Raw genomic sequence first — 13,056 nt, 5'->3', positions numbered from 1 at the left:
GTTATGGTGGACTCTGCATTTTTTGCTTGCCCTCTTGAAAGATGTCAAGCCCCGAGTTTGATGATAACTCATGGATTCAGGGAGCCCCAGCGGGGAGCAGGGTGCAGCCAATCCCACCTGGCCCGTGGCCACCAGACCAGGAGCTCCAGGAGGGTGCCGCATGTGCCGCTGAGCTGGGTTCGGGACCCTGCATCCAGCCCAGGGCCCAGCCTGAGTGGATGAGCACGTGCATGAGGAAGCATAGGCGTGGGAACCACATAGCCCTGGGATTGCATCCTAGCTCCAGCCCTCACCCAGCAAGACTGTAGGGAGGGTGAAGTGCAGGCTCCTGGGCTGAGCACCTGCCCCTTCACCACTGGACAGGTGTCCCTGGGCCTCTCCGACGTGCCAGATGCATGCTTTGCTTCCTCCCCTTCCTTCAGAAAAGTTCTTTAATCTTTGCTGATGAGATTCCCTTACTCTCACATTCCTCACCTTGACAAGTAATTTAATATGGTGCCTTGAGCATTAAAATGAGGATATTCAAATCTGTGGGTTCAAAGGAAGAAAAACAATTCACTCATTATCTGTGGCAATGAAACCCTGCAATGCCCTGCTCATAAAGACACAAACCTTCCCAGCCAATGAGTTCTTAATACTAAGCAACTCCTCTTAAGAAAATAAAATTTCTGGGAAGCTGAGCGTGGGTTGCCGTTTACTCAGGCATTTGGCCGTGGACAGGGTAGGGGAATGGAGACCCATTCGCTTCAGCCATAGTGAAAGCAGGTGGCCTAATCACGGAGCTGAACAGCGGTCCCTTCTTGAGAGCCAGTCCCCAGGCACAGACAGCCACAGATATTTTCTTTTTTTTTTTTAAATTTTTAAATTTTTTTATTTTTTATTATACTTTAAGTTTTAGGGTACATGTGCACATTGTGCAGGTTAGTTACATACGTATACATGTGCCATGCTGGTGTGCTGCACCCACTAACTCATCATCTAGCCACAGATATTTTCTAACCTCACTTGGGGCCTGAATCGCCTGAACTAGGTGCTGGGTTATGAGAACAGATGTTTCCAGGAGTGCTCAGTCCCTGAGGGAGACAAGCCTTCGCCTTCCCGTATTTGAAAACTGAGAAAACAGACCGGGAAGGGGTCCCTCACAATGGCCTTTGACCCCTCGTCGCCCAGCCAGGCCAGCCCTCTCTCCACCTGTGAGCCTGCCACATATCCAGAGCCTAAGGTCCTCCCAGGAGATGCCTAGGAACCTGGTTTCACCTCAAGTCTGGGGCTTGGCTGGCCATGGACTGCCCTGGGCAGGCGGACATGGTGTCCTTGGGCCTGGCTGTTTCTCCTGAGAAGAGTGCAGTGGTAGGGAGCAAGCTCAACCTCTGCAAATGTCCCTGGGCCTGGAGCAGGGCACCTCCTTAGCCCTGATGGGGTGCTCGGAACGGAGAGCACGAATGGCCAGATGCCCGTAGGGCCTGACCTCCCTGTTACGGCTTAGGGCTTGGGAAGGGACCACACAGGTCATGCCTGAGGTCCCAAACACCCCGGACATCCAAACCCACTGGGTTCCACGTGTGCTGGCTCGTTGAGGGAGAGTCGGATTCGCTTTTGCAAAAAGATAAAGGAGCTGCAGGGCGCTGCTTCCTTGAGGGGTGCCTCGCTGCTGCTGGCGCTCAAAACAGGCCCGGGGCGGCGGCCTCCGTCCTCATCGTGGGAGATGCAGGAAGGCAGGACCCCGATCCCCAGCTGTTGCTTCCTGTGCCTACTCCCCTAGAAGGAGCACCCCTCATGGAGATGCAGCCTGACTGCTGAGGGAGGAAATGGCCACTGACGCAAAATGAATGAACACACAGGGCGGCTGCATGCTTGATTGGAGGAAGCTGCCTGCAAAATTGCCTTAGGAAGGACGAGGGGGCCGCAGGGGGGCTGTCCTTGTCCAGTGCTTCCTGAGCTCCTGCTGTGGCCCTCTGCTCAGATGCCGCTACCCTGCGAGATTTCTCAGTTCTCTGTTCCTGATTATGGCTTCCTCCGGGCTTCCTTAGCGTCGCTCTGCTTCCTAATTATAGCCTCCTTCCTGGGTCGGCATTTTAAGAAAATCTACCTTCGTAACTGTGCTTCAGTGTCCAGCTCAGGAGTGTGAAACATTTTCAAATTATCATGCAGCCATTGCCACCATCTGCTTCCCGAACTTTTTCACCTTCCCAAACTGAAACTGGGCACCCATGAAACACTCCCTCCCATTCCTTGTCTCCCTCAGGGACTGAGCACTCCTGGAAACGTTTGTTCTCATAACCCAGCAAGCACCTAGTTCAGGCGATTCAGGCCCCAAGTGAGGTTAGAAAATATCTGTGGCTGTCTGTGCCTGGGGACTGGCTCCCGAGAAGGGACAACTGTTCAGCTCCGTGGTTAGGCCACCTGCTTTCACTATGGCTGAAGCGAAGGGGTCTCCATTTCCCTGCCCCGCCCACATCCATTCTGTCTCTGTGGATTTGACCAGTGTAGGTGCCTCAGATCGGTGGAATCATAGGTGTTTGTCCTGTTGTACCTGGCTTATTCCCCTTGGCATAATGTCCTCAAGGTTCATCCATGTTGTAGCATGTGTCAAAAATGTCCTTTTCTTTAAGGGCCGAATAACATTCCATTTTGCGGATAGACCACATTTTGTTGATTCATTCATCTGTTGGCAGACTTTTGGTTGCTTCCACCCTTTGGCTATTGTGAAGATCACTGCAGTGAACGTGGGTTTGCAAATATCTGTCTGAGTCCCTGCTTTCAGTTCTTTTGGGTATAAACCTGGAAGTATGATTGCTGGAGGTCAGCATGTTCTGAAAAGACTGTCTGTTGGGTCACAGTCAGCTCCATAACCCTAAACCCTAGCTCAGATAGCTGCCTGTTAACTATTGAATGAATGAGGTGAATGCTAGAATCCGAACTTCCAGGATTGTCACAGGGCAAAATGAGATAATTAAAAGTTCATTGCAGAGTATTTGTCAGTAACAATATCAGTTCAGCAAACATAGGCTGTGTGTGTAATGAGATGGAGAAAATTTCGTTTGGAGAATTCTTCTAAGGGAGGGAATTATCTTTGCAGGAAACACTTTGATAAATTGCTTGCGCGAGAGTAAGACCCCCAAGGGAGTTCGAGGCAACAGAAATGGTGGGTGAATTCCTGGGGCAAGGAGAGAAGTTTCTGCATCTCCTCCGAGAGGGAGGAGGAACAGGAGAGAGGAGAAGAATGGGGATGAGGCTGATGCTAACAGTAGGTGACACTTACTTAATGCTACCCACAGGCCAGGGGTATGATTCCGTGCACTCCTCATGACGGCCCTGTGAAGTTAGCACTGCTAGCATGCTCATCTTACAGATGAAGAAAGTGAGGCCAGGGACTTTAAGTAAATTAACCAAAGCTCATTCGTGGGGGTGCCAGGATTCAAAGTTGGGCCGAGTCTCCAGAACCTGCCCTTTTCGGCACCAAGCTCCACGAAGAGAAGAGAGGGAGCAGAGCCAGTGAGGGCAGGAGCTGTTTACTCAGGGCCAGGGCATCTCTGCCGGCCTCAGAGCTTCAGCCACAGCTCCCAAGCCCTCGGATTCTCTACTGAGGGAGGACGGGATGAGTTAGACATTTGGGGTGCTGTGGAATGAAGCAAGCAGCATGTGCGGACTGGAGCCAGGAGCAAGAAGACCCTGAGCAGTGAACCCTGAGAATGTGCAGAAGCCATCAGCAGGCCCACGGGTGTCAGGTGCAGGAAGGTTTGCTGAGTCTCATAGCCACTGCACTGTGCTGCGTGTGGAGGGGCTACGGGCTGTGCTGCTGAATGAGGCGTGGCCTCTGCACTCCTACCTGGGACATTTGCTCATTTAGTGTTCATTTATTCATCAGGCAATATATATTGAGCAACTTCTGTGAACCAAACACTGTTCTAGGCCCTAAGACCAGGTCTCTGCCTTCATGGAGCTCACAGGCTAGGGCTGAAGCCAAGTAACAGGAAGATGACCGTGTCTAGCACAGGTTGTCATGGGATGCATGCACACTTTCTGGAGGGTTCCTGCAGGAGAAGCAAGGTCAGGTTGAGATATAAAGTCAGGGAAGAGAAGAGGGCAGGGAAAGACATTTCCAGGCAGAACACGCAGAGTGTGGGAGGGGAGGCTTGGAATTCAGAGAGAGCACACAGTATTTGGGAAGAATTGAAAGAAGTCCAAAATAGCTAAACTAGGGCTGGGCACTGTGGCTCACGCCTGTAATCCCAACACTTTGGGAGGCCAAAATGGGCAGATCACTTGAGGTCAGGAGTTCAAGACCAGCCTGGGCCAACATGGTGAAACCCCATCTCTACTAAAAATATACAAAAATTAGCTGGGCATGGTGGCGGGTGCCTGTAATCCCAGCTACTCGAGAGACTGAGGCAGGAGAATCACTTGAGCCTGGGAGGCGGAGGTTGTAGTGAGCCGAGATCATGCCACAGCACTCCAGCCTGGGTGACAGAGTGAGATTCTGTCTCTAAAAAAAAAAAAAAAAAAAAGCTAAAATAGGACACAGGAGTGGGTAGAGGTTCCCGAGCCCCCAGGGCAGCATGTTGCTGACCTTAGCCTGTCCTGCTGCTGGTGGCTGTGGTGGTGTGACCGGCGGGCTCTCTTGGGCAGCCTTCTTGTCTGGACAGCCCTCTGTGGCTATTGCATTGGACCATTGATGAGGGGGATATGCCCGCTCTGCTGAGCACCTCTGAGCCCGACTCCCCCATGAGCCAGCAGGAGAGACCCAGGGGCCTCCATTTCGTCCTGCTCCCTCTCTCTCGCAATGCTCAGCCTCTGCTCCATTCTACCTCAGACTGCAGGAGCTTTGTTCCCATAGGACTGTCCCTGGGGTTGGCCAATGCGATTCTCAGGTTCTACGTTGCTGCCTTCACCAGAATGGGAACCTCTCAGCTTCAGGGTGCGTGGCCCACCCTTCCTTCATCCTCAAGGCCACACCACCTGCTGTGCATGGTGTGCTTCAGATGAACTGGATGTGTTTGTTGAATGGAATTAATTTATGAAAGGAAGAAGGAAGGTGGGGTATTTTCTCCACTTTTGCAGTCACTAGAGAATGTCAGAAACTAAAATTTTCCCCTTTTATTGCAACTTAAATGTGGTGGCTTTAACTTATGTAGGAAAAGGGAAAGAGGTTTACAGATCTGAGAATCACATTGGCTGTTTAATACTAGCGCAAGGGAGATTTCTGTTTTCTACATTTTTAAACCTAATTTCTTCACCCACTGATACTTGCTGAGAGACTTTATGGCTTCCTCGATTATGAGCTTGCTTAAGTGAGTTCGTTCGTAATAATATGTGTAATTACATCAAGAAGGATAACAGGACCGACGTGAAACCAGCATGAAACTGACGCGTGTCAAAGAACTCATGGGTTGTATTGAACAGTGAACCAGTTTGCATATTTTATTAAGGAAAAATAACCTTCCATTTCTCTTTATTTTCCCCAGCAAGAATAGTTGTTGGATTAAAATTATCCCAGTGGATTTCCCTTTCTTACATAACAGTAGTTTAATTTACCAGATTTGAGGGGTAGGAGGACAAGCACTTGCTGTTTTATATGCCCCTGATGTCCACATACCCAGGGTGATGTCATAGTGGTTGGTTAGACAGTCCCTTCAGAAGAGGGGAGACATCTGCTGTAGGAGGTTTCCCATCTGAGGGTCTCTGTCTAGAGACTTCTAGACGTTCTTCTGTCCCTGGGCTCCGCAGGAGTTGCGTTTTCCTTGACCAAGGCTCACCCCTCCCTGAAGCGCAGTGGCGAGGCGAGTGTGGAAGGACTCCTGAACCAGCTCGTCCTGGAGCACCTGCAGCTGGCGCCTCTGCAGTGGGGTGAGTACCCGCCAGCCACCCATCGATTCTGGGTGGATGTGCTCCTTTTCTCCAAATGCACGAGCAAGGTCTTGGGGGGTGTGGCTGGGCACCCCAAATGTTGGTGGGTACTGAAGGTCATCACGGGAAACCTTGGGGGAAAAAGACGGGCTCACCATACTGCGCCAGCACCTCTGTGTGAGGTCATCTTTGTTCACCTAGGCGGGCAGCTCAGCACTCCGGTGACAGTGCAGACATGAGAAGGGCTCATCGCCCGTTGAAACAGGTGCAGCAGGCGGATCTTGGCCTACATCTTGACTTGCACTTGGTGTAGAGTGGGCCGTCTTCCGAAATGGCAATTGACTGTGTCTGGCGGGGTGTGTGCTCTGCAACTGTTTCCAGAACTGAGAGTGGCTTGGGATGGCAAAAGAGAACAGGGTGTGGTGAACCCCTTGCGTTCACCCCACTCACCACGACTATGCATGGACAGCTTTTCATGCTGTCTGTGTGGAAAATTGTTTGGTTTGTAAATGCCTCAACTCAACGTTGTGTTCAACCCCAAGAGAACGCCATTACTGGACACTTAGCACAGTTTATTTGACTGCTTCTTCTTGTTGCACCTGGGAACTTCCACCCTACACTGTGCCTTTCTACATTGAACTCAAAAATATTTTGCTGAGAAACAAGCTTAGCATTTCTTTTGAAGTGAGAATCTTTATTATCTGGAAATTATTTAATCAGCTCATCTATTTTGGATCCCCTGCAGACAGTCAGTTGCAAGCATACATATCCCCTTTCTTCCTCTTCTTTACCCAAGAGGTCATTGTGAATGAGTAGCTCCTCTTTGATCCAGGATCCGGTTCATTAATAAATTTGTTCTGCCCCTTTCATGGGCTAGAGACACATGGAAATGATTCCAGTGGTGTGAGGAGAAAACAAGCCTTTCTCCTTGCACTCCACCAGCGCCCTTCAGCCTGGAGACCCCCTGATCCTGCAGAGGCTGCCTCCTGGCTCCTCACAGGTGAAAGCTGTCGGGACCAGGTGGGCACCGTCATGGCGGCTATGGGTTTCCATTTTACACTCGGGCTCCTTCTGTGGCCTCTTCCTCCTCTCTGAGCCAGCCTGAGTGGCAGGAAGGAAAGGCTTGGTGTTTCTGCAGAGGGTTTCACAGTTTGGTTCTCTGGAGGCTTCCCTGTAGCCCAGCCACTTTTCTAGGTGGGAATGTCCTATCTATCTCCTGATGACCTGAGCACAGTCAGCCGTGTCCCTAGACTCAGATAGCTGAGCCGGGAAAGACATCTGGGCCCCCCTGGCCGTGAGATGGGGTCAGGCCCAGGGGGATTAGCTGTATTTTATCTGTTGCCAGAGGAGATTCCACCAGGTAGCTATGCAGGACTTTCATGGGGCAAATGAGCGAAGGGAGGGCCACAGGCAGAACAGGGGCCCAAGAGCAAAGAACAGAGTGACTTGGGGTGGGGAAGTGGGCAGCAGGTGGGCTCCTCCCTTCTGTCTGAGGGTCGGCAGCCCTAGCCCCAGGTAAGGGTTTTGAGATGGCTTGGGGGCCTTTGTTTGGGTAGGTGACCAACGGGGCACCCAGGAGCAGAGCCCTGGGGGAGAGGTTCTGATGGTACAAGGCTGAGCGGGGAGAAGTCCCTGCAGTCTGGAAACAATGCCCTTCCCAGGGCACGAACTGCCCTTGACACTGTTCTAGGTGGGCCCTAAGGGTAGGGAGGGTTCTGGAATTGGAGAGGCACAGGACAGAGAAGAGGGATTTATGGTGTGCCAGACACGTTTACAAATGTCGATTCACTTTGATTCTGAGCCTCAGAGCAATGTGTGAGGTCGCCATGGGAGAGGTCCATGCCGCCCTAAGATGGGGAAATGGAGGCTCAGGGTGCCTCCCTGGTGCAGCATGTCAGATTGGATTGTTGAGCATCTCCTGTCCCAGGCATTTTGCATAAGAGCTGCCACGCACTCCTCACCACAGTCCCGTGAGTGAGGTTTTCTCCATCATTTACAAACAGGGAGACTAAGGCTCAGAGGCTGGCACTTGCCCCAGGGGCTCCAGAGTGAGCAGAGCCGGGAGCACTGCGTTACAGGCCACCAGGCCTCTACCAGCCAGGGATGAACCTCAGCCCGGTCCTGCCTGAAAACTGGTGGGGCGCCTGGAAGAAGCCTGGGCAATTTGGGAATTTCAGATGAAGAAAAGCTTTAGTCCTTAATGATCATAAAGGTCCTTTCTGTTCATTTTGCCCTCTCCCCTGGGTGTACTAAGAACATCCTTTAAAAATTTACAATAGTGGGGAAATTAGAGAGAACAGTGGACAATTAGAGCCAGGACTAGGAAGTTGGTTTGGCCCCAGGACGCCTCTCAGCACAGAACAGCCTGGAAGCTGCACACGCCTGTGTGGGCAGAGGTGCCTGCCGGGAGGCGTGAAGGCTCTAGGCTAGGCTCAGCCCCCTGCTGTGTTACATGCTGCTTCCATTTCTTGCCCTGATTTTCTTCCTCTTTGTACTAGTTCATTTTCTGTTGCTTATAGCAGAATACTTGAAACTGGGTAATTTATAAAGAAATGTATTTCTTAACAGTTGTAGAGGCTGCAAAGTCCCAGGTCAAGGAGCTATGTCTGGCGAGGGCCCTCTTGCTGCTGGGGACTCTGCAGAGTGCTCAGGTGGTGCTGGGCATCACATGGCGAGGGAGCTGAGCGTACTCATGTGCTAGCTCAGGTGTCTCTTCCTTTTCTTATAAAGTCACCATTTTCCCACCCATGAGAACCCAGTCATCCATCAACACATTAATCCTTGAATGGATTAATCCATTCATGAGGGCAGAGCCCTCACGACCCAATCACCAATTAAAGGCTCCAGCTCCCAACACTGCCACACTGGGGATTAAGTTTCAACGTGAGTTTTGGAGGAGACATTCAATCCGTAGCACCCTTTTTTCATAGGGGGGCTCAGGGATTTCTTTTGGAAATGTAGTTTGGTTCCATGGCCTCTCAGGATCAGGTAGCCCTGGACTCAGATCCCAGCTCTATCATGTGTTAGCTATGTGACCTTCAGCACATCACTTCACCTCTTTGAGCCTGAGTTTCTTCCTTTATGGAATGGGATGATGCCTGCTGGATAAGTTACTCCAGGGATTACATGAGATGATGTCTATTATGTGCTCAGTGCAGCCCCTGCTACCATGCACTATTGTTTCCTCTGAGACCCGCACCTGTCTCCTCGCCACCCTCCTACCCCCTGTGCTGACTCCCTTTCCCCATAGATGACGTGGGCCAGTGGTGGGACCAGGCCTGCGCAGATGCATACTGGCCCCCACAGCTGGGCTCAGTGCAGGGTGAGAGGTGACATTTCATTGACGTTGTTGACCTTGTTTCACTGCAGCCTCTGGGGGAACAGGTAGGGGGACAGGGTGAGAGAAAAGAGCCGTGGTATTCACTGCACTCTTGTCTGAACGCAAAGGCCTTCTTCATGGTGCTTCAGTCCCCTCTGTGGTGTAGTAGAGGCTTTTGGTGGAGCCAGGGGTCCTGGATTTATGTTTCGGTCCAGCCACGTGCTGCGTCAGGGAGGCACCCTGAGCCTCCATTTCCCCATCTCAGGGCGGCATGGACCTCTCCCATGGCGACCTCACACGTTGCTCTGGGGCTCAGAATCAAAGTGAAATGACATTTGTAAATGTGTCTGGCACTCCATAAATCCCTACCGCCTGCAAAGCAATGATTTATTATAATCACTTCTGTTTTAAAAGCTACAGAGTCTTTTATGCAGATATTTCTGTTATTCCTGGAAGATCAACCCAGTTCTAGGAGCCATATACCCAAGCCCTGGTGTGAAAACTCACAAGGGGCTCTCCTTGAATCTGTGGCATTCATCCTCACCACCCCCTTGCCCACCCCAGGGACTGGGCAGTGCATAGACCCCCTTCCTGGCATCCATGCATGGTGGGGCCACCATCAGAGGGAGGCCCAGGCAGGAGCTCTTCAGTCTGGGGGACAGTAAGGAGAGGGGTGAGGCCCTGCGGTCTGGAGTGTGGCCCACGGCATTAAGAGGTGGTTACATGTTTTTCTTGCTTTCAGCGAGTCGGAATTGGCCCAAGAGCTGCCATCTTTTTCTGTCTCTGTTCTTGGAGAATTTGAGAAGGTGGTTTTAAGGTCTCGTTTGCATGGCATAGAGAGATGGTTAGCAGTTGGTAGGCCAGCTGTTTTTTTCTGGCATAGAGAGATGGTTAGCAGTTGGTAGGCCAGCTCTTTTTTTCATAACTAAAGAAAGGTAGCCTTGCCTTTGTTAGGGTGGTGGTTTGAGACGCAGCACTTCAGCCATCTGAGGACAGTCATCAGATGTGGGTGAGTGACTTCATCATGAGACCAGAGCAGGTCTATTTGCTAGTTTGGAGGACATAATTCCCGCTTCAGCAGGTTGTTAGGCAGCTCAGGTGGTATAAAGGGTGGATAGGAGATGGGGCGCTTACCACATGTGATGCTCTGTAAATGAGTGCTGAGCAAACCAATTGGCAGTCAGATCTATTTTTGTTAAATTATTAAGGTTTGAACAGAAAATACATCTGGATCTAAAGGAATTCGGATTCCCTAAAAAGACTAGTGAAAATGAGGTTCAACTTGTCTTAATATATTCTATCAGGCAAAAGAAACAAATTCCCCAGGGAGGGGTAGTCCAGCTGCTGCCACTCCTGGAGTGAGCCTGTGGACAGTCTCTCCAGCCAGAGGCCACCAGAGGAACCTCGGGAGGGCAGGAGGCTCCTTCTGCAGCACCACGTCGTTTCTTCCCCAGGCTTGCTTTTTCTGTTTGGTAATTGATAGTGTTTGGGTTGCCGGTTGTGGGCACAGAGGCATGTTGGCAAATAATGCGAATATAATCCCTTTATCCTGGAGAAAATGCATGGCTTTTAAGAAACAATGCTAAGATCTGAAAGGCATTTCTGCCTTCAGGAGGTGAGCCTGTCCCTGTGGGAGCCCCGGCAGTGAGCAGCTCAGCGGTGCGCTTTTAGTCGCTGGCGGCACCTGCCAAGGCCAGGGCCTAGCACTACAGTGTGGAACCATTTCCAGAAATGGGGCATGATATTTTCCTGTTTGCAGTGTCACAGTTTATCTCACTATTATCATATCTTGCTGTTTCCAGTGAACATGTTAATACATACATTTTGATTCGATTTTCTGACTAGACAAGTTTTCTAGTTAAGAGTTACTGCTAGGTCAAAGGCTATGAACCTTTTTAGGGATCTTGAGATGTTTAGTCATCACATGGGCACGTGACTCTCGATTGTGACGTGGGCACTGTTGGAACTTGGATTTCCAAGGTGATCTTCCAAGGGGGCACAGGACACTCAGCCTTCCCCTGTGAGGAGGGTGGGGAGTGCAGGGAGGGTCTGGGTTGGGTCAAGTCCTTAAACCTTAAACGGGACCCCAGCACATTCTTGAGACTTTGCAAGTCATAGGGCATGGGAGCTGAACTGGGTAGCAGGGGTCAAGGTGACTCCAGCCCCCTCCCCAATGCTACAGCTGGATCTGTGAGTCCCAGTGGGGCAAGGGTCTTGCCATGGCCACCAGGGTATCCATTTCCACTCCTACTGCATTCTGCCACTTAAGAGGCCCTTGGCATCTTTGCTTTGCTTGGGAGCCATGGCTATGCCGGCCGCCTGCACACCTGGGTTGGTCCCTGACTGCAGCAAGATCACAGTGAAAGCCTGCAGGGACCTCAGCTGAGTTGAATGGCATCTCTTCCCGAAGAAGCCATGTGGGGGTTTTCCATTTCTGAGCAGAGTCTTCTCTTTGAGCATTGTTTGGGATCACACATTTATATATCTGTGTATATACAAAGAGAGGGAGAACAGGCACCTTGCCCTGTGACTTATAGTTCAGGCCCTTGGGATGTGGAGGAACAAGCAGACGCGGACCCCATGGAACGATCTTGGCTTCAAATCCCACAGACCTGCTTCTGGTCTCAAGTTTGCTGTGTTTTGCCAAGTTGGCCGAGTGCCCTGAGCAGTTACTTATGCTCTGAGCTCTGGTTCTCTGTGAAGTGTTGTGACTCACCCACCTTGCAGGGATGTTGGGAGAATGAAACAAGCTAACACAAATAATTCCTTGCCATGTAACCAGTGCTCACAAATCGAGCATTTAAAATCTCCCTGGTTTCTTTCTCTGTCTTCTCTCTCTTCATTCCCTCGAGGAACTCCAGGCTAGGAGAGGAGGTGCCTGGTGTAGGACAGCAGGGCCAACACAGGGGAGGCCTGGGGAGAGCCTGCGGGGGCCGGAGCAGCCTGATCCTGCAGGCAGAGGGCATTTGGGAGGAGGGGAGATGGCTCTGAAGGGAAGGGGCTGGGATGGTGTTGTGGAGGAGGGAGCTCTCAGTTAGGTTAGAGGGATGGGTTGAGTTTACCATCTGGGCAGGGACAGGTGGAGAGTTCAGACCTTAGTTAGCCAGCCACGGTGTGGTGGTGCATGAGAAGAGGGTGAGTTTTGTCTGCCCCTCACTATGACCACGTCCTGCACCTGCCTTCAGGCCCACTGGGAGCACGTGTGGTGCAGGGTCCACATCCAGGGACACAGCCCAGGAAGCTCCCCTCCCATCCCGCGCAGTGGAATCCAGGTCTCGGACCCACCCACTCCTCACCCCCAGCCAGGGCTTTGGGGCTGCCGTGTTCCCTGCGCCCCACCCCCCATGACCTGGGCTCCCCTCACCATTCTTCCAGAGTCCCCTCCAAGGATGAACTAAGGCTGCAGCTCCCTAGAAGCCCCCATGGCCTGTGGGAGTTTCTATCACACCCGTAGGCCGCCATGCCGGGCTGGGCCCTCGTTCCCTGGCAGACTCAGTATCCCCAGCTTTGGCCTGGCCTGACTGATTCTTTCTCTGACTTGGAGCAGGCTCACTAATTCAGTTCAAAAAGGAAAAGTTTCTTCTTGAATTTTTGAATTTGTACATAGTTTTGAGACAGGCTCCTGCTTATCGCTCAGGCTGGAATGCAGTGGTGCAATCATAGCTCACTGCATTCTTGACCTCCTGGGCTCAGCGATCCTCTCGCTTCAACCACACGCAGCTAATTTTTGTATTTGTTATTTGTATTTGTTAATTTTTGTAGAGATGGGGTCTCCCTATGTTGCCCAGGCTGGTCTTGAACTCCCGGCCTCAAGCGTTCCTTCTGCTTTGGCCTCCCAAAGTGCTGGGAGTTCAGGTGCAAGCTAGCAGGCCCAGCCTCTAATTTCAAAG

General features: G+C 51.5%; 1 protein-coding gene across 15 annotated transcripts in view; it reads left to right on the top strand.

Moving 5' to 3' along the window:
• TRAPPC9 (trafficking protein particle complex subunit 9) overlaps positions 1 to 13,056 on the top strand; it is a 730,855-nt gene that overhangs the window by 566,854 nt on the left and 150,945 nt on the right. For 11 of the 15 annotated variants that reach the window (NR_164662.1, XM_011517326.3, NM_031466.8 and 8 more), the window contains one exon: positions 5,757 to 5,847. Coding sequence is in view for 14 of the 15 variants with exons in the window: in XM_011517326.3 (XP_011515628.1) it covers positions 5,757 to 5,847 (91 nt within the window). In the remaining variant the exon portion in view is untranslated. Of the gene's footprint in view, positions 1 to 5,756; positions 5,848 to 6,048; positions 6,732 to 13,056 lie in introns of those variants that run through there. The other 4 variants (XM_047422294.1, XM_011517328.3, XM_047422297.1 and 1 more) reach the window with 1 other exon arrangement.

Source organism: Homo sapiens, chromosome 8, assembly GCF_000001405.40.
Source record: "Homo sapiens chromosome 8, GRCh38.p14 Primary Assembly".
Lineage (NCBI taxonomy): Eukaryota > Metazoa > Chordata > Mammalia > Primates > Hominidae > Homo > Homo sapiens.
Note: the sequence above shows the minus strand (reverse complement) of the source record. Positions and strands in the feature narration are given on the sequence as shown.